Source organism: Homo sapiens, chromosome 10 (genome assembly GCF_000001405.40).
Source record: "Homo sapiens chromosome 10, GRCh38.p14 Primary Assembly".
NCBI lineage: Eukaryota > Metazoa > Chordata > Mammalia > Primates > Hominidae > Homo > Homo sapiens.
In genome coordinates, this window is record NC_000010.11 from 62,339,369 (window position 1) to 62,358,631 (window position 19,263).

General features: G+C 39.5%; 1 long non-coding RNA gene and 1 pseudogene across 1 annotated transcript in view; one reads left to right on the forward strand and one right to left on the reverse strand.

Annotated features, from left to right (window-relative positions):
• Positions 1 to 219: 219 nt before the first annotated feature.
• LOC283045 (uncharacterized) overlaps positions 220 to 19,263 on the reverse strand; it is a 35,540-nt gene continuing 16,496 nt past the window's right edge. Inside the window, exons 2-4 of the long non-coding RNA NR_104162.1 lie at positions 15,082 to 15,279; positions 13,570 to 13,653; positions 220 to 2,301 (exon numbers count right to left, since the gene is read on the reverse strand). This is a non-coding gene — a long non-coding RNA (uncharacterized LOC283045). The remainder of the gene's footprint in view (positions 2,302 to 13,569; positions 13,654 to 15,081; positions 15,280 to 19,263) is intronic.
• Positions 10,638 to 10,929, forward strand: RN7SL591P (RNA, 7SL, cytoplasmic 591, pseudogene; annotated as a pseudogene).

Here is a 19,263-nt window from a genome sequence, read left to right on the forward strand (position 1 = left end):
AAAAAACTACCCTTTTCTATGTAGACTACTTTGTCATGTTTGTTGGCAGTTAATTCTATATATGTTTTGTTTTGAATTCTGCATGCTGCTTTATTGATCTTTAACACCAATACCACACTATATGTAGCTGTACTAGTCAGGGTTCTCCAGAGAAAAAAAAATCAATAGAAGATAGATAGATAGATAGATAGATAGATAGATAGATAGATAGATAGATATGTATTTTATATACATACATATGAATATATTTATTTTAAGAAATTAACTCATGTATTTATGAAAGCTGCCAAGTTCCAAGATCTACAGTTGTTAAGCTGGAAACCCAAGAGAGCCAATGGTGCAGTTCTAGTCCAAAGAACAGCAGGTTGAGACTCAAGAAAAGCTGATGTTTCAGTTCAAGTCTGAAGACAGGGAAAAAAATGATGTCCCAGTTCAAAGGCAGTCAGGAAAAAGGAATACCTCCTGATTCATTGTGAGTTAATTTTTATACATGGCATAAGGTAAGGGTCAAGTTTTTTTTTAAGTGAAAGCAAGTTTATTATGAAAGTAAAGGAATGAAAGAATGGCTACTCCATAAGAAGAGCAGTGGTGCACACCTAGTTGCCCATTTTTATGGTTATTTCTTGTTTATATGCTAAACAAAGGGTGGATTATTCATGAGTTTTCCAGGAAAGGGGTGGGCAATTCCTGGAACTGAGGGTTCCTCCCCATTTTAGAACATGTAGGGCAACCTCCTGACATTGCCATGGCATTTGTAAACTGCCGTGGTGCTGGCGGGAATGTAGCAGTGCAGACGACCAGAAGTCACTTTTGTCGCCATCTTGGTTTTGATGTTTTGGCTGGCTTCTTTACTGCAACCTGTTTTATCCACAAGATCTTTCTGACCTGCATCTTATGCCGCTCTCCTGTCTCATCCTGTGACTTAGAATGTCTTAACCTCCTGGGAATGCAGCCTAGTAGGTCTTAGCCTTATTTCACTTAGCCCCTGTGTGAAATGGAGTTGCTTTGATTCAAATGCCTCTGACAATTCCCCCCTCCCTATTATAAGAGAACACTTAATCCTAAGGGTTGTAGACAGATGAAGATCCATTTTCTGTAACTTCTTCAGGCTGAATAGGGGTGATAATATTCCAGCCTAACTATTGGGTCTTTTGCCTTCAGGGTAGAGAGGAGCTCATTCAGAAAGTGCTGGTATGGTGAGGGTTATTTGTAACTGAGTTCCAACAAAAGATGGTACCTGGAAGAGGAATAAGGGTTCAATTTAAGAAAACATTCAGCAAGCATATCCTGCATTCCTACACAAAGAGTACAACAGCAATATATTCCACAATAGTAAAGCAAAATAAGCAAAATCATCCCAAATAAACAAAATTAGAGGCTTTCCATGAACTGGGCAATTGTTGGAACCAAACTGATATGGGGTTGTTAGCTGATTCCAATATGTGCCCAGAATAAGAATATTGATCTGGATTTTATATTACCCATCCTTCTTAGTTCTTCTGAGCAGCAGCCAGAGATCACTGGTTGGTTAACAGAAATAAGAAGAGTCAGTCTAAATTGCAGAAAAAAATTCAAAAACAGTGAATGAGACTAGAATCTAGTAACAGTTGTACCATAGTTCTTGAAACAATTTTTTTCTCTCTCCAGTTTCCCATTTTTACTAAAGACAAATCACTGTAAGACTGATTTACTTTATTATACTTGGCCTGATTATTCATACAAAGTGCAGCAAGAATAATTATTTTTCACATAGGCTTTTTAAATTGGCTTTGATGGAACTCTGTTCTATAAGGAATCTCAGATAAGACTTTTTTCTGAAGCTGAGCCCAGCCATGGGTTTGTACACTCAAATATCTATTATTGGGTAAATTCCTTTCCTATTCAGGTCCCAAGATAACTTGGGGGCTCCTGGGACTGTTAAAAAGTGACATTCTTTACTCACAGGTTAGGAACCCTACACAGAGACTGTGTAGACAATGTATAAGGCCAGTGTTTCCAAGGGGCTTTTATTGGCTCTATAAGTCAAGTTTGATTCCTTAAAAGAAAGCACACCATTCCAGTAAAAGCCTTGGTAAAATAACCAGTTTTTCCAATTGTGTCCTGTTACAAATGAAAACAGATTCTTATTGCACTTATGCAAATAACTATGTTTCCATAAGTTAAGAATACTCACAAATAGTTTCCAAATTCTGGAGAAATCAGGTAGAGAGAAACAAACAGGCTCTGAATTTTGTTCACAGGAGTACACTTTACTCAGTTGTTAAAGGCTGTCAATAGCTCAAAAGAAAAGTTTTCCAGACTCTGAAAAACAAAACAAAGGATAAGCAAAATTTTAAGCAAAAAGTTAGAAAAGACTACTTCAATCTTCTATTAGTACAGTCCATTCAGTTAACTTCTGTTCTGCTTGATATTCAGGAACATTTCAGCTCTCCATGAGAGTCCTGAAAGCTTTTCCTCTATTCTGATGTCACAATCTCCAAAGTCATCAGAAATCTGCATTCAAAAACACCTGTCAAAGTCCTATAGCTGACTATAGACCACCTTTTAAAGAGGATCAAAACTAGACAATTGTTTGTTGATGACAAAAAGTCTTAGGACAGCCACTATTAAAGCCACAGTGACAAGGAAATTTTGGTTACTTCTATAGCATACAAAAATTTTACATAACAATTATAATTATTAATAACACACACTATATCAGGATTGTAGGAGTTTTCCATAATTTTGGAACACACATGATAACATATTTGTACAAATACAGCCCAAAGAAAGCCAAACACCATTTTATATTTGACAATGTTTCCTGTATGATTTGTATACCAAATAAGCCAAATTGCACCTTTATATTAGTGTACTATTAATGTTAAACACAATTCTTAATAAAACTTTACAGACAAATCCATCCAATTTTAATGTCTGACCATAAGGTAAGATTTTCATTAATCTTTTAAAAACTTTACAAATTTTTGCTAAAGAGCAAACTAGTGCTCTAAGAAAAATCTGTTGTGCTTTTATTTTAATGTTCAGTTTACAGAAAAACTAAATAACACTTCTTTAACTTTAGCTAATATGTTCACATACAGAATTTCTTTTACAAGATTAATTTTTCACAGACCTTCCACAACTTGTTTAAACCTTCAGCTTTATCCTATCTAACTTAAAACAATCCTTTAACCCTTTAGGCAAAAAAATTTACATTCTTATGACTTCTTACAATCTTTTACCAAAAACACATTTCACTTTTCTTACATGTAGAACTCTTTCTATGCCCCAAAGATTACTTAAGTCATGTGATCTAAAAGGCATAACAGTTTTTACTTTTCTGACAAATATTTGATTTAAGCACTTATTATTCTTATTTTTTTGAGACCAAGTCTCACCCTGTCGCCCAGGCTGGAGTGCAATGGTGCAATCTCAGCTCACTGCAGCCTCTGCCTCCCTGGTTCAAGCAATTCTCCTGCCACAGCCTCTGAGTAGCTGGGATTACAGGTGCCCACCACCACACCTGGCTAATTTTTGTATCTTTAGTAGAGACAGGGTTTCACCATGTTGGGCAGGCTAGTTTCAAATTCCTGACCTCAGGTGATCCACCTGCCTCAGCCTCTAAAAGTGCTGGGATTACAGGTGTGAGCCACCGTGCCTGGCCATTATTATTTTTTAAGCCAATTAATCAGAGCTTTTCCATATCACACATGCAACACATATGAATACACAGACAGATAGAAAAATATTCAGTAGTTGTAAGATTTTTCATTTGCAAGTTTCTAAGTTTCTCTTTAAAGCATGCAATTTCTAGGGCCTAATAAGCAGGCACAGCTGGAAGGCAAAACAGATCACAAAAAATTAAGGGTCCCATTTTTATAACAGATCCTGGATCCCCAAAAGAGGGAATTAGCCCATCTCCCATGGGAGTCTTATCTCTCAGTGAGGGAATATATCCATACCTTCCAGGCAGCCAGGAGCATGCTTCTCTCATCCAAGCATGCAAAGAGCCATGTATCCCCCCATAACTGCCATTAGCCATCCTTAAAAGTATATTTCCTACCTAGTTATTACACACCAAAGTTCTCTCATAATGTGAAGTAATTTCTGATACCCCTAAATGTTAAAAACATCAAATAATGCAATGCAAAACAGAAGAAAGTTTTAGATTTTGAGAGGGATCTATCCACTTTCAATTCCTAGGGTTTCATGAGGAAAACAGGTTTTCCCCAAGGAGTCCCACACTGTTTGAACATGAATATCCACTTTTAATTAAGCTGATTTTTAACCATAGCACTGGAAAAAAAAAAGTTCTTTTAAATTATCCAACTTTAGCCATGCCAAACGGCCAATATTTCCAGCTTTTGGACTTTACCAACGATAACCTCTCAGGTGCTTAGAGAAAGGAAAAATCAAGGTGGTTCATAGAGGGAGAGAATATCAAAAAAATGGTAAAGGTCACACAGATATCAAACCAGAAAAGGACTCATTCCCTAAGCTGGGAATTGAACCCAGGCTGCCATTGTAAAATGGCAAACCTTAACTGCTGAGCTACAGCATTGGGCAGTTTCCATTACCCTTCCTGGGAGGAGCCTAGAGGCAGCCAATTTTAAGCTTGCAATAGTTTTTAACTGCTTGAGATAATTTTTAGGGCTGACATGAATCCCCAATTCTTGTCCTCCAGATGTCAGAGACTAAGAGGAAGTACCACCATGTGGTTACAAGGTCAAGATCCCAATGACATTTTTCAACATGTGCTCTCTGGGCAAGATGGTCACCCTGAGTAACTGAAACAGTAGAAAAGAGAAAGGAGAGAAAGGGAGATAAACATTGCTGGTGGCAGGGTGGGGAAGGCAACGTGCTCAGGAAGGCCAGATAAAGACCCACCCACTGCAGCAACACTGAATCAAAAGTTCAGGCAGCTGCTTGTTGGTCATGAAGGGATCTTTTCCAGCAATCCTGTCATCTCTCAAGTTCCCCTCTTTTGGAAGGAAAAAGCGCCCCATGCCCCATGATCCTGTACTTGCCTAATCCTGTCATCCACAGCCATCAGCAAAGTGTGCAAGGCAGATCAATCCAAAGAAAATAGTGGTTAATATTCTACAAGGCCAAACTCCTTCTTAGCTGCAAGAGACTTTACTGAGAGGGACCTCCAACCCCCTAAATCTTAGGAAGGACTCTAACCTTCCTAATTTGGGCCTCAAACCCAAGTTCAGTCAAGTGTCCTTGTCTTTTATAAAGAAAGGCTTTTAACCCTCTCTGTCTTAGGAGAGACTCTAAATCCCCTAAGTTGGGCTTCTAACCCAATCCCATCATTTACCTGGGTATGCCACCACTTACCCAAAGTTGGCCAATCAGCGCAGCAGTCTATTTCCTCTGGGTTAGGGGTCTCCTCAGTATAGCCTCTTTGTGGTTTTCCCAAAAGATGTTGGAAAGGGGTCCCAATCCAGACCCCAATAGAGGGTTCTTGGATCTTATGCAAGAAAGAATTTGGGGTGAGTCCATACAGTAAAGTGAAAGCAAGTTTATTAAGAAAGTACAGGATCTGTTCCAAGTTTTTTGGACATAAAAAAAAAGAAAGTAGGCAGGGTGTGGTGGCTCACACCTGTAATCTCACCACTTTGGGAGGCTGAGGCGGGCAGATCACTTGAGGTCAGGAGTTCGAGACCAGCCTGGCGAACATGGTGAAACCGTGTCTCTACTGAAAATACAAAAATTAGCTGGACATGGTGGTGCGTGCCTGTAGTCCCAGCTACTTGGGAGGCTGAGGCTGGAGAATCACTTGAACCAGGAAGGTGGAGGTGGCAGTGAGCCAAGATCACGCCACTGCACTCCAGCCTGGGCAGCAGAGTGAGACCACAGACAGAGCAGTCAGGTTTTTTTTTTTTCCAAATTTTGGAATACAGTTGGAAATGCACCATTTTTGGAAAAAGGTACCATTTTCTAAGTAAATTACTTTGCCACTTTTGTTAAAGTCTTAGTTTATTTGTGTTGCTCTAAAGAAATACCTGAGGCTGGCATATATATATATATATATACTTATAAAAGCTGTATTTGGTTCAAGATTCTGATGGTTGGAAATTTCATGATTGGGTATCTGCATCTGGTAAGGGCCTCAGGCTTCTTCCACTCATGGCAGACAGCAAAAGGGATCTGATGTGTGCAGAAATCACACAGCAAAAGCAGAAGCAACAGTTGTGTACAGGGGTGTGGGGAAGCTCTTAATAACCAGCTTTTGTGGGAACTAAGAGAAAGAGAACTCTGGGCATTAATCTATTCATGAGAAACCTTCCCCTACGACCCAAACACCTCCCATTTGGCTTCTTCTCCTAATACCACCATACTAGGGACCAAATTTCACTATGGTTTGTTTTGGAACAAACAAACCATATAAAAACCATAGCAGGCCAGGTGCAGTGGCTCAGGCCTGTAATCCCAGCACTTTGGGAGACTGAGGCAGGCAGATCACTTGAGGTCAGGACTTTGAGACCAGCCTGGTCAACATGATGAAACCCCGTCTCTACTAAAAATAAAAAAAGTAGCTGGGCATGGTGGCAGATGCCTGTAATTCCAGCTGTTTGGGAGGCTGAGGCAGGAGAATTGCTTGAACCCACGAGGCAGAGGTTGCAGTGAGCTGAGATCTCACCACTGCCCTCCAGCCTGGGCAACAGAGCAAGACTCCATCTCAAAACAAACAAACAAACAAAACAAAACAACATAACATCTGACAAGCAACTCATCCTATGTATGTTCTGTTTTAGAACTCTACATTCTGTCTCATTACCACACCATATGTAGCTTTATAGCAAATCTTGAAATAAGCTAAAGTCTTTCAACTGAGTTCTTTTTCAAAATCATTGAACGATTCTAGGCCCATTGCATTTTCATACAAATGTTTCGGTCTGTCAATTTTTTATTGAATCTATGGATCAATTTGGAGAGAAATACCATCTTGACAATATTGAGCATTTCAATTCATGAACATGGTATGTTTCTCCACTGACTTACATTTTTCTTAATGTCTTCCAGCAATGCATTTTTAGTTTTCATTTTCTACACAGGTCTTGCTCAAGTTTATTAAACTTATCCTTAAACATTTCATGCTTTTTGATGCATTGTAAATGAGACTTAAAAAAAATCAGGATCTACTTTTGAAATGACAGAGTAAGGACCTATGAAAATCTGCTTCTCCATAAAAGCAATGAGAACACTAGCCAAAATTAACTTTTTCAGAACTCTGGAAATAAATTGAAAGCTTGCAACAATCTGAGAAGTGATTAGTCAAGGAAAACAGCTAAATTTCTATAAGAACGGTGAGCCACATGGCACTTTAACTTGCTTAATCTCATTATCCTCTCTCCAGTTTTCTTGTCATGGTCTTGGAGGCTAACAGCATTACAACTACATGATCAGCCACTGGAGGGGCAGTACGAGTTTGGAGCTCCTTGAAGCCCCATCTCTAGAGAATTTTCACTATTTGGCTTGTAGAGCAGCTTGCTAAAAAATTCAATTTTCAGGGCTTGTCTTTCTTTGATCCCACTCTGAAAACAGCCCTACCTTCAGACATTTGTTATAAACAGTGGCATTAAAAAAAAAAAAAATCTCAGCTGCCTGAGGCAGCATTACCAGCTGAAGCTAACAATAGGTTGGATAAGAGCTGAAAAGATAAAACCAGGGCATGAAATGTCCACAGGGGCCTTTGGAAATCAACTAGGAATCTAGTAGGTTGTGTACATGTCAAGGGTTGTGAGCATGTCCAGGACTGTGTGCATTCCCAGAAAAGATCCGAGAAGGCACTAAACTTTTACCTCTGGTTGATTTTGAGGCTCTGTGCTAGTAGGAAGTGAAGTGTTAGGCAGAGTTGTAAACTGTCTGCCAGAGCATTGAAGTCATGACTTATCGTGGTGAGTGCATCAGCGAAGGCTGTAAGCCTTATTGGTTCAAGGGATTTAAGAAAATCACTACCCAGTCATTAGCTGATCATTAAGCTAACTGAGCGGAGCCTTCAATGACTGCACATGGCAAAACATACAGTTTATGTAATTGGTATGGGAAAAATAACTAAAGAAACAGCAATGACAATGATTATTGTGGAAGGGAGGTATCTGACTTCAGGAATTGACACATAATATTACTCAAAATGGCCAGTTTTTAAGAAAAAGTTATGCAAATAAACAGGAAAATTGACCCGTATAGATGAAAAAGCAGTCATTAGAAACTACCCTTTAGGAACTCAGATGTCAAACTTATTAGATATATATTTAAATATCTATTATGTACGCAAAGAACTAAATAAAATTATGTCTACAGAGTAAAGGAAAATAAGAGAATGATGTGTCACCAAATAGAAAATATTGGTAAAGAGGTGAAATTTTACAAACAGAGCTAAGTAGAAATTCTGGAGTTAAAAAGTGCAATAACTGAAATGAAAACTTTACTAGAGGAACTTGAAAGCAGGTTTTAACTGGAAGAAGAAAGAATCAGCTGACTTGAAGACAGGTCAATTAAAATACTGAGAAACCAAAAGATTAAAACAATATAGAAAATAAAGAGCCTCTGAACTCTTTGCTCTGTGGAATACCATCAAGCATACCAACACACACATAGTGGGAGTCCCAGATGTGGGGAGTGGTAGAAAGAATACTTGAAGAAATAATGGCAAAAAAACTTCTCAAATTAAATTTAAAACATTAACTAGCATATGCATGATTCCCAACAAACTCCAAATAGGATAAATGCAAAAAACTCCACACCTAGACACATTATAGTCAATCTTCCATAAGATAAAGGCAAAGAGAGAACTTTAAAGGCAGCAAGAGAATATGACTCATCATGTAAGAAGGTTTTGAAAGGATCCCTCAGGGCTGAAGGGAGTGCTCAATGAAGAATGAATTTGGAATGGGAGTCTTACTGTAGAAGCTGGCATTCAATCCTCATTGAGGAAAATTGCCCACTGAATGGCAGAGAAGTTCACTGAGTTATCTGTATTAGAATTGGTCCACAATCCCTGGACAGAATCAAACAACCTTCCAGGATTCAGATGAGCAGAGGTTTGTGGACAGTCATGCAGAAGGAGTTGGGATGGCACTTCTAGCATGAGTATTTAAGTGCATTATATACATTGGAGGACCTCAGTGAGGTGGTCACCAGATTCATGCCAGAGCTGCAAGGTCACTGAGGCACTATGTGCCCTCTCTTGCAGCAGGGACAGTGTGCCACTAAGATGTTTCCTCACATATGCTCAGTTGACAGAAATATATTTTGCACACATATATTTTGCTGTACAAGAATAAGAAGAAATAAAACAGCAGCAAATTGGACCAGAAAGAGAAGCACTCTTGCAATTTCCTTCCAGCATCTAGCACTGACAAAACTTAATATTATGCTCACTATATAGGAGAAATAATTATAAAGAGTCCAGTTCATTATAACAGAGCACATAGTAAAGAATAAATTTGTTTTTGAGAGGCAATAAATTGATAACTTGTGCAATGATGATATATTGTGGTTTGATTTTCTTTGTGTTTCTTCTCTTGGGTTTATTGTCTTTATTTAATCTGATCCAAGCACACTCTGCACACAGATCTTGGATCTATGGATTTATAATTTTTATCAAATTTGGAACAATTTCAACCATCATTTTTTTTTTTTTTTTTTTTTTTTGAGATGGAGTTTCACTCTTGTCGCCCAGGCTGGAGTGCAATGGCGCAATGTCAGCTCACTGCAACCTCTGCCTCCTGGGTTTGAGCAATTCTCCTGCCTCAGCCTCCTGAGTAGCTGGGATTACAGGTGCCTGCCACCACACCTGGCTAATTTTTGTATTTTCAGTAGAGACAGGGTTTCACCATGTTGGCCTGGCTGGTCTTGAACTCCTGACCTCAGGTGATCTACTGGCCTCGTCCTCCCAAAGTGCTGGGATTACAGGCGAGAGCCACCATGCCCGGCCTCAACCGTTACTTTCTCAAGTGCCTCACTTTGTTTTCTCTTCTTCTTCTGGGATTCCAATTACATAAATGTTTGTCTGGTTGGTACTATTCCACAGATCACTGATATTCTGCTCATTCTTCTTCAATATTAATACTTTTCCCCCATCTATATATTTGTATATTTTCTATTGCTATGTCTTTAAGTTTACTGATCTATTTTTTACTGCAGTGTCTAATCAGCTAATAAGTTGAGTTTTTATTTTACATATGCATTTTTCAAGTCTAAAAATTAAATTTGGTTAATTTTTATAACTTCTGTTTCTCTCCTCATTATGTTCATATTTTAAGACCTTGAGCATATACTTTTAAGGTCTTAAGTTTTTAATCTGCTAATCTTATCATCTCTTTTTTCCAAATCTGTTTCTACTGACTGAATATTCCTTTAGTTATACACATTTTTCTGTTTCTTTGTATGTCTAGAAAGTGTTAAATTAATGCTGGATATTGTGATGTTAAATTGTCAAGTGTCTGGATTTTCTTGTCTTTCTTTAAAGTGTGTTGAATTTTACTTTGGCAGTTGGTTAAATTACTTGTACATTAGCTTGGTTGTTTTGATCTTTATTTAAAAATTGGTTACAGTGGGCTAGAGCAGCCTTTACTCTGGGGCTTATTTAGACCTACTACTAAGACATGATCATTTTAGGTTCTACATTTATTTTGGTGTCTTTCCACTCTAGATAATTGGAGTGAAAATATCTTCCAGCCTCACCTGAGGCAGGAGGATCACTTGAGTCCAGGAGTTCTTGGCTATAGCATTATGCAAGTTGAGCTTCTGCACTAAGTTTGGCATCAATATGGTGAACTCCCAGGAGTGGGGGACCACCAAGTTGCACAAGGTGAGATGAACCAGCCCAGGTTGGAAATGGAGTAGGTCAAAACTCCCAAGTTGATCAGTAGTGGGATGGTGCCTGTGAATAGCTACTGCACTCCAGCCTGAGCAACATAGCAAGATCCCATCTCTAAAAACGAGAAAAAAAATAAAGAAGTAAATGGATAGGTTTAATAGCAATTGAACAAACAGAATATGAGGATGGAGAACTCGAAAACAGATCAGTGGAAAATAACCACATTGAAGTAAATAGAGAAGAAATAATGGAGAAAATAAAGTAGACGTGAGAAATGCTCAAAACATCCAATGCATATAAATGGAAATAGAATCTGTGATGGTGTATTAGCTATTATTGCTTCATAATATATCACTCCAAAATGTAATGGCCTAAGTTGACAACAATAATGTATTATCTCTTATGGTTTCTGTGGAAACTGCAAGAATTTAAAAGTAGCTTGATTGAGTTATGGTTCAGGCTATTTTATAGAGTTGCAGTTAGATGTTGACTGAGCCTGCAGTCATTTAACAGTCTGAATTCAGCTGGAGCTCAAAGATTCACCTCCAAGGTTCTTAAGTCACTTGGCTAGTGTATTAATCCATTTTTATACTGCTGATAAAGACATACCTGAGACTGGGCAATTTACAAAAGAAAGAGGTTTAATTGGATTTACAGTTCCATGTGGCTGTGGAAGCCTCCCAATCACGGCAGAAGGCAAGGAGGAGCAAGTCATGTCTTACATGGATGGTAGCAGGCAGAGAGAGGGAGCTTGTGCAGGGGAACTCTTCTTTTTAAAACCATCAGATCTGGAAACTTATTCACTATCATGAGAACAGCATGGGAAAGACTTGCCCCCATGATTCAATTACCTCCCACTGGGTCCCTCCCACAACACGTGGGAACTCAAGACGAGATTTGGGTGGGGACACAGTCAAACCATATCATTCTACCCCTGGCCCCTCCCAAATCTCACATCCTCATCCTCACATTTCAAAACCAATCATGCCTTCCCAACAGTCCCCTAAAGTCTTAACTCATTTCAGCATTAACTCAGAAGTCTACAGTCCAAAGTCTCATCTGAGAAAAGGCAAGTCCCTTCCACCAATGAGCCTGTAAAATCAAAAGCAGGTTAGTTACTTTCTAGGTACGGGGGTGGGGGTACAGGCATTGGCCATTCCAAATGTGAGAAATTGGGCAAAACAAAGGGGCTACGGGCCCCATGCAAGTCTGAAATCCAGCAGGGGAGTAAAATCTTAAAGTTCCAAAATGATCTCCTTTGACTCCATGTCTCACATTAGGGTCACACTGATGCAAGAGGTGGTCTTGGGCAGCTCGGCTCCTGTGGCTTTGCAGGGTACAGCTTTCCTCCTGGCTGCTTTCACTGGCTGGTGTTGAGTGTCTGTGGCTTTTCCAGGCACACAGTGCAAGCTGTTGGTGGATCTACCATTCTGGGGTCTGGAGGGCCATGGTCCTCTTCTCACAGCTCTACTAGGTGGTGCCCCAGTAGGGACTCTGTGTTGGGGCTCCAACCCCACCTTTCCCTTCTGCACTGCCCTAGCAGACATTCTCCATGAGGGCCCCTCCCCTGCAGCAAATTTCTGCCTGGGGATCCAGGCATTCCCATACAGCCTCTGAAATCTAGGCAGAGGTTCCCAAACCTCAGTTCTTGACTTCTGTGTGCTCGCAGGCTCAACACCATATGGAAGCTGCCAAGACTTGGGGCTTGCACTCTCTGAAGCCACAACCCAAGCTCTATGTTGTCCCCTTTCAGCCACGGCTGGGGTGGCTGAGATGCAAGGCACCAAGTCCTTAGGCTGCACACAGCATGGGGACCCTGGGCCTGGCCCACAAAACCACATTTTCCTCCTAGTCCTCTGGGCCTGTGATGGGAAGAGCTGCTGTGAAGACCTCTGACATGTCCTGGAGACATTTTCTCCACTGTCTTGGAGATTAACATTAGGCTCCTAGTTACTTATGCACATTTCTCCAGCTAGTTGAATTTCTCCTCAGAAAATAGGATTTTCTTTTCTATTGCATTTTCAGGCTGCAAATTTTCCAAACTTTTATGCTCTGCTTCCCTTATAAAATTGAATACCTTTAATAGCACCCAAGTCACCTCTTGAATGCTTTGCTGCTTAGAAATTTCTTCCACCAAATACCCTAAACCATCTCTCTCAAGTTCAAAGTACCACAAATCTCTAGCATAGGGGCCAAATGCTGCCAGTCTCTTTGCTAAAATGTAACAAGAGTCACCTTAGGGGAAAGGCTTGCCCCTATGATTCAATTACCTCCCACTGGGTCCCTCCCACAACACTTGGGAATTCAAGATGAGATTTGGGTGGGGACAAGCTCCCAAACCATATCAGCTAGCAAGTTAATGCTAGCTATTGGTCCCTGTCCATGTGGGCCTTGGGATGGGCTTCCTTATGTGTCCTCATGACATGGCAGCTAGCTTCCACCATAGAGAGTGATGCAAGAAATTAAGAAAAATTTGCAATGTTTTTTATAGTTTAGCCTAAGAAACCATACACAATCAAAATCCAGTGTTCTATTGGCCATGTGAGTCAGCTTTGATTCCATGTGGGAGGGTGCTAACCAACAGCATGAATAACAAAGAGCAGTGTAAGCTGACTATGACAGTCTGCTCTTTGATCCTCAATGATTCATGTCCTTCCATCATGCAAAATAAACTCACTCCCTCTTAAGTATCTCAAAAGACTCATCATATAACAGCATTAGCCTAAAGCCCAGAATCTAATCATCAACAGCATTACCCTGAAATCCAGATGCAGTTGAAGCTCCTTGGTTGTTGTTCCTCAAGTGTAGCCTCTTAGAGTAGTTTCCCTTGATCTGAACACCTGTAAACAAAAGAGGCAAGTTTTATACTCCCAAATATCCAAATTACAATGGTGAGGCAGGCATAAGATAACCACTATGGCCCCCCATTAAAAATAGAGGAAATGAGAGGCAGACAGGGCTCACTGGCACATAGAAATACTGAAATTGACCTGGGCACATGTTGTCAATTCATTATTAAGACTCAAACCTATTACTGCCTAGAAATGATTCTCTATGGCACTTTAGGCCCACACTCTGGATTCTTGGTTCAGTTCCACCTCTAAATCATCTTTCCTATTCCACAAATGATAATATACATTTACAGCTGAGTAGTTTATCTCAGCCTTCTTTATGACACTAGAAATTTGGGGTCTAAAGACCTCTTACCATTTTGTACTGTCTTGGTACATTTTAGTTCATGTACTGTTAACATTAGCACAACTTTTTAAAATTTTGTGGGTCTCCTATGGATCTTATTAGCATTTACTCCATTAGAGATAAGCCACACTCACAAATGTCTATACTGGAAGCCCTCCTGAACCTTAGGCTTCCTCTGGGGCTATTGAAATAAACATCTCCAAGATGCTTAGAAGCCTCAACATTTAACAAAGATCTGCAAAGAGCATCCTTCAAATTCTTATAGGACTTTTTATCTTACTAAACAGTTCCCTGAGACATTGCTTTAGGTTTCTTTATACTCTGAACAAAAGATTTTACAGTCATACCATCTGCTTCATCTTTAGATCATATTTTTCCTCAGAGTGCCCTAGATTGATATATGCCTAAAAGTCATTTCTTAATTTTAGCATTGTTTGCCATCTGTAAATCTTGGAATAAGAAACAATTTTAATTTCAAACCCATCATGTTCTGCAATTTTAAATTCTTCACAGTTCTTCCTTTAGCTTTTCTTTCTGCTCTTGTATTTTACTATGAACAGCAAGTAGAAGACAGGCGATACATTTAACACTTTGTCTTGATATCCTCTTAGCGAATTCTTCCAGTTCATTGAGCATATTTAAAATTTTCCATTCTACCCCAGTCGACAATACAAATAAGCTTCCCATCAGTCAACAATATGTCCTCTTTTTTTCAGCTTGCAGTAACATTTTCTTTACTTTTATTTAATTTCCCACTTTATATCCTCATTGAACACCATGCAGTTTCCATTAAATGTCTCTAATGACATTTAGGTCCCACTAATAACTTCCTCATAGTCTTTTCCGCTCTTCTCAGCAAACTATCACCATATTTTTAGGTTTTTGTGATGGTGGCACCTCATTTTCGATGATCAAAACCTGTATTTATCTACTGTTGTGCAAAAAAAAAAAAAAGTCATCCCAAAGCCGATTGGATTAAAACAACAAAAGTAATTTTTTATTTCAATTGGTTTCTGTGGGTTAGGGATTCATTTTCAACATGGTTGGTACACTCTGGCTCAGGGTCTTACCTGAGATTGCAGCCAGATGTAGGCTAGAGCTGCAGTCATCTGAAGGCTTGACCGGGGCAGTGGATTCAGTTATAAAGGCTCTCTTACAAAGCCGGTAAGTTGATGCTGGCTATTTTATCCTTTCTATATTGGCCTCTGCATGGGGCTGTTTGAGTGTCCTCTCTATCTGGTGGCTCACTTCTCTCACAGTGAGAAATCCTAGAGAAAATGGGACACTGCAACATCATTTATGATCTTCAGAAGTTAAACACCACCACTTCTGTAGAATCTATATTTACACAAGTCCACTCTAATTCAATGTGAAAGGAACTATACAAGGTTATGAGTACAAAGAGATGAGGATCAATGGGGACAATATTAGGGGATGGGAAATACAGATAAGGGTTTGTATACAGAAATGTATTTGAACTTGTCAGCAGGAACAATACCTGTGAGGGAAAGAAGAAACCAGCATTAGACAGAAGGAACAGTTTAACAGTGACCCCAGCTAAACCCCTGGAGAACTCCAGAGCTGCAAAACTTTTCAGATGTGTCCTGAATTAAGGACAAATTTTATATACCTACATCAAGCAGTCACTGAATGTGAATTCTCCCTGGAGAGTTGCCCCAACCTTGAGCAAGCCATTATATTAATCCAATGGTGATTCTTAGGAAGTGAACAAGCTCTGGACTATCAGAATGCAATATTCTTGGCAAGAGAAGGAGTAAGTACTCAATACTTGAGAGTCTTTGTGGTTTACCACAGCAACCTCTACACGATGAAAGTTAGAAGAAAACCGATGAAAATTTATTTTAGTTTGGAAACTAAAATAAAATGGTTACTAATTTCAAATTCCATATTCAGTAAAAAAATATATTTTACCAATGACAGGAAAATATGCATATTTTCAGACAAACAAAATTAAGGGATTTTTTTATATAAGGTCCTCACTAAAAGTAAATTAAATAAATATCTTCAGCCAGAAAGAAAACATTCCCAAATAGAAAGATAAAAATCCAGGAAGGGAATAAAGAACACCAGAAAGAGGAACTAAATTGGTAAATATAAATGATAATTAATTATACAAAACAATAGTCATATGTGATCTGAGGCTTAAATTATATGTAGAACAATTTCACAAAAGTGGGAGATAGGTAATAGTAAAGGTAACAATTTGTAATAGTTTATTATAAGTCAAGGCTATATATTATGCATCTAGGAGAACTGCATAAATAGTTAATGACATATGCTTACAAGATAATAGAAAGTGTAAATGAAATAATCATTTAAAAAGTTTTAGTTCTTAAAAAGGAAAGAAAAATAGAAAAAGAAGTATAAAACATATGACCCCAATAGAAAATGGATAGCAACAATGTATATATAAACTCAATAATGTTCATAATTACATTAATTGTAAATGATCTAAATACACCGAGTAAAGTCTTATGTTGGTCAGATTGGATTGAACAACAACAACTATATTGTGATCACAAGAGTCATGCTTTAAATATAAAGACACAGAAAAGTAGACAATAAGAGAACCAAAAAAATGCCATATGTGATGGTTAATTTTAGGTAATTTCCCATCAACCTTAATTACAAGGCATGGTAGTACTAAGAGATGCCCTAAGGGATCTTCTGTATTCCAGGCATACTTTCTTTACTTCTAGTGTGGAGTAATAGTCCAATTTCTCCTTGGTAGTCTGGATCAATTACTCCAGACTACCACAATTCATAATTCCATAATTCCTTTCTTAGCCAGCTGACTCAGAGGCATCAGGAGCCCAAAGTGGCTGGGTGACAGTCTTAACTTCCAGTTTAATGGAATCATTGTGTCTCCCTGTGGCAGACTTCCTCCCTCTGGAAATAGAATCTGTAGGCCAGCAGAGCATAAAGTTGTGAGAACAGGAAATATGCAAAGGTGGCATATTCATCCCCATTCAATTCTCCTATTTGGCTTGTGTAAAGACAGATGGATTCTGGAGAATGACTGTGAATTATCATAAGCTTAGACAAGCAGTGACTTCAATTGCAGTTGCCCTACCAGATGTGGTTCCATTGCTTAAGCCAATTAACACTTCTCTTGGTAACAATAGTGTGCAGCTATTGATCTTGTAAATGCCTTTTTATCCATACCTGTCCATAAGGCTCATCAGAAGCAGTTTGCTTTCATCTGGCAAGGCCAGCAATACACCTTCACTGTCATACTATGGGGGTATATCTACTCTCTAGTCTTACGTCATAATTTAGTTGGCAAGGATCTTGGTTGCATTTCCTTTCCGCAAGATATCACACTGGTCCATTACATTGATGACATTATGCTGATTGGACCTAGTAGTGAGCATGAACTAGCAACTACTCTGGACTTACTTGTAAGACATTTGTGTGTCAGACCATGGGAAATTAATTCTACTAAAATTCAGGTGCCTTTTACTTCAGTGACATTTCTAGGGTCCAGTGGTGTGGGGCATGTCAAAATATCCCTTCTAAGGTGAAGGTTAAGTTCTTTCATCTGGCCCCTCCTAAAACCAAGAAAGAAGCACAATCCTAGTGGGCTTATTTGGATTTTGGAAGCAACACATTTCTCATTTGGATGTGTTATCCTGGCCCATCTATTGAGTGACTAAAAAAGCTGCAAGTTTTGAGTGGAACTCCAGGAGAAGGCTCTGCAGTCTCCTGGAGCAGCAGGAGCTCCAAGCTGCTATGCAAGCTGCTCTGCCACTTGGGCCATATGATCCAGTATATCCAATGGTATTTGAGGTGTCAGTGGCAGACAGGGATGCTGTTTCGAGCCTTTGGCAGACCCCTATAGGTAAATCGTAGTGGAGACTTTTAGTCATTTTGGAGCAAGCCCCTGGCATCATCCTAGATAACTACTCTCCTGTTGAGAGACAGCTCTTGGCCTGCCACTGTGCTTTAGAAGAAACTGAATGCTTGAACATGAGTTATAAAGTCACTACATGACCAGAGCTACCTATCTGGGTGTTATCTGACCCACCAAACCATAAAGTTAGGTGTGCACAGCAGCACTCTATCACCAAATTGAAGTCGTATATATTTGATGGGGCCTGAGCAGGTTCTGAAGGCACAAGTATGTTACATGAAGAAGTAGCCCAAAGGATCATGGTTTCTATTCATACTACACAGCTTTTTCTCTCCCAGCCTACACCCATGGCCTCCTGGGAAGTACCCTATGATCAGTTGACAGAGGAGGAGAAGACCAGGGCCTAGTTTATAGATGGTTATGCATGATATGCAGGTACCACCTGAAAAGGGACAGCTGTAGCATTACATCCCCTCTCTGGGACATCTCTGAAGAAAAGTGGTGAAGAAAATTCTTCTCAATGGGCAGAAACTTCACCTGATTGTACACTTTGTTTGAAAGTAGAAATGGCCATATGTGCAATTATATATTGACACACAGGCTGTAGCTAATGATTTTGCCAGATGGTCAGGGACTTGAAAGGAAGGGGATTGGAAAATTGGTGAAAAGTAATTTGGGGAAAACATATAGGGCTAGATCTGAGTGGGCAAAAGATGTGGAGATATTTGTGTCCTACGTGAATGCTCACCTTCTCAGCAGAGGACTTTAATCATCAGGTGAATAGGATGATCCATTCTGTGCATACTAGTCAATCTCTTTCCTCAGTCACTCCTGTTATAACACAGTGGGCCCATGAACAAAGTGGCCATGGTGGCAGGGATGGAGGTTATGCATGTGTATTAGTCTGTTCTCATGCTGCTAATAGAGACATACCAGAGACCGGGTAATTTATAAAGAAAAGAGGTTTAGTGGACTCATGGTTCTACATGGCTGGGGAGGCCTCATAATCATGGCAGAAGGCAAAGGAGAAGCAAAGGCACATCTGTCCTACGTGGCAGCAGGCAAGAGGGAGCATGTGCAGGAGAATTCCCCTTTATAAAACCATCAGATCTTGTTAGACTTATTCACTATCATGAGAACAGCATGGGGAAAACCCATCCCCATGATTCAATTACCTCCCACTGGGTCCCTCCCATGACATGTGAGGATTATTACAATTCAAGGTGAGATTTGGGTGGGGACAGAGAGCTAAACCATATCAGCATGGGTTCAACAAAGTGGACTTCCACTCACTAAGGCCAACTTGGCTATTGCCACCTCTGAGAGCTCAGTCTAACAGCAGAGACCAATACTGAGTCTTCAATATAGCATCATTTCC